Consider the following 2,065-nt stretch of genomic DNA (forward strand, 5'->3'; position numbering starts at 1 on the left):
AGTGCCATGCACATGTTTGTTAACATAATAACAGTTATCATCATCATCATTATTGTCATTTTAGTCAGACCATTTGAGAAACTAGACGTGGGGCCAACTGCGTATGCCCAGTATTATACAATGTGAAAGCCTGGGGTCTCTAAGGGAAGGCAGACCACACAGGGCAGGGGGCTATTGTGCTTTGCTTCCACAACCCACAACCCAGCCACACATCAGATTATTGAAACCACTCCTGCGAAAGAACAAAATTGGTTGATTATGCATTCATCCCACATAACTCTTGGCTCTAGCAATTCTCTACACCTCCGGAGATCTCTCATCTTCCTCTTCATCTACATTATCCAGAAAAGAAAAAAAGCCAGCTGTCAGAGGGAGTAATCTTTTTAGCACTTTTCCAATCAAAACCAGCCTTTGCTGACTTCCCCTGACTTCCTAGAATAAATCCTGCCTGGTCCCCAAAAAGCCTGATGGCTTTTTAGTGCACTGGCTCCACCTAGTGACTGCTAGAGAGAATGCACCCAAACTTTCTTGGTTTGGATCGAGGTTACAGAATTGACAGCTAAAAAGTCAGACAAGTTATTCACGATAGCCAGACGTTGATTTGAATTCCAAAGACTTCTGAGAAACACTGTATATAGCTCATTTTAGGAGTACCTAGCATAAGGTTAAGAGTATGTATTTTAAGTTCAGGTGTCTCTGAGTGCAAAATCTTGTTCAGCCTCCTACCACATTTTGCCTATATGACTTTGGACAAGTCATTTACCTTATTTAAGCTTTAAGGCACTTATTTGTAAAAACTGAGTTAATTGTGAATACTTACTAGAAATTTTGTAATAATTAATATAGATAGATAGTAGATGGATAGAGTGCTTAATAGACTACTTCATCCATAATAAACAATCAATAAACCATAGTTATTTCTATTAGCTACTTGGAAGACTTCCATAGAATATCCATTTCTCTGTGGGTCGATGCTTCTTACCCTTTTAACTGAGCTAAATAGGAGATTATGATCAATTTTTAAAGGCTACTTTAACACAATTTGAGTCTGATAGATACAGATTTCCCTGCAGGAATTATGTATTCTTTGCCATGCTACTGCCTAGAGAGTAAATATTCTATTTTATTTATTTATTTAAGACATAGTCTCACTCTGTTGCACAGGCTGGAGCGCAGTGATGCAACCATAGCTGACTGCAGCCTGGAACTCTTGGGCTCAAAGAATCCTCCTGCTTCAGCCTCCCGAGTAGCTGGGACTACAGGCGTGTTCCACCACATCAGGTTAATTTTTTTACTTTTTGTAGAAATGGAGTCTTAGTATGTTACCCAGGCTGGTCTCAAACTCCTGGACTCAAGCAATCCTCCCATGTAGGCCTCTCAAAGAACTAAGATTATAGGAGTGAACCACCATCGAGCTATAAATATTCTAGTGATTCAAGAAAGGCACTCAATTTTTTAATTAAATGTGTGTCACATATGCTCCTTTGTTTGGTACTTAGATGGAAGTTCAAAGTTCATTCTTAAATCTGAGACCTTGGGAATATAATCTTTTAAATTATCTCCTATATCTGTTCTCAAAATAAATCAACAAAATAATTTTGGGTCTTTCTTGAATGCAAAACCGAAAGCACTTTTTAAAGAGTGAGGAGGATCTGTTAGATGTTAAAGCACACCTGTTTAAGGTTGGCCATAATGTACCTTTGCTCAATCTCATAACCAAGTCTGACTTCCAGAATCCCTTAGTTTGTAACACCGCTGTCAACAGATGAACCCAGCCCTGCTCCTAGCCCTGTTCTTCCTTTTTGTTGGTTCCTAAGAAGCATATATTTTGTTTATAGTCCCATATTTCCCTATCCTTCATTCTGGATATAATTTTTCCACAAGGAAAAAGTATTTGTAGTATAAAGGACTGAATTAAGATCCATGGAATTTGCAAGCTTCTCTCAACTGAATTGATTCAAGTCATGAAACCATATACAAGTCACAGCCTAAGTCTCAGTTTTGTATTTGAAAAATGGTGATACCTCCCCATCTTACCCTACAAAGTTATGGTGAATATAATAAA

The sequence above is a fragment of the Homo sapiens genome, chromosome 12 (genome assembly GCF_000001405.40).
Source record: "Homo sapiens chromosome 12, GRCh38.p14 Primary Assembly".
Taxonomy (NCBI): Eukaryota; Metazoa; Chordata; class Mammalia; order Primates; family Hominidae; genus Homo; species Homo sapiens.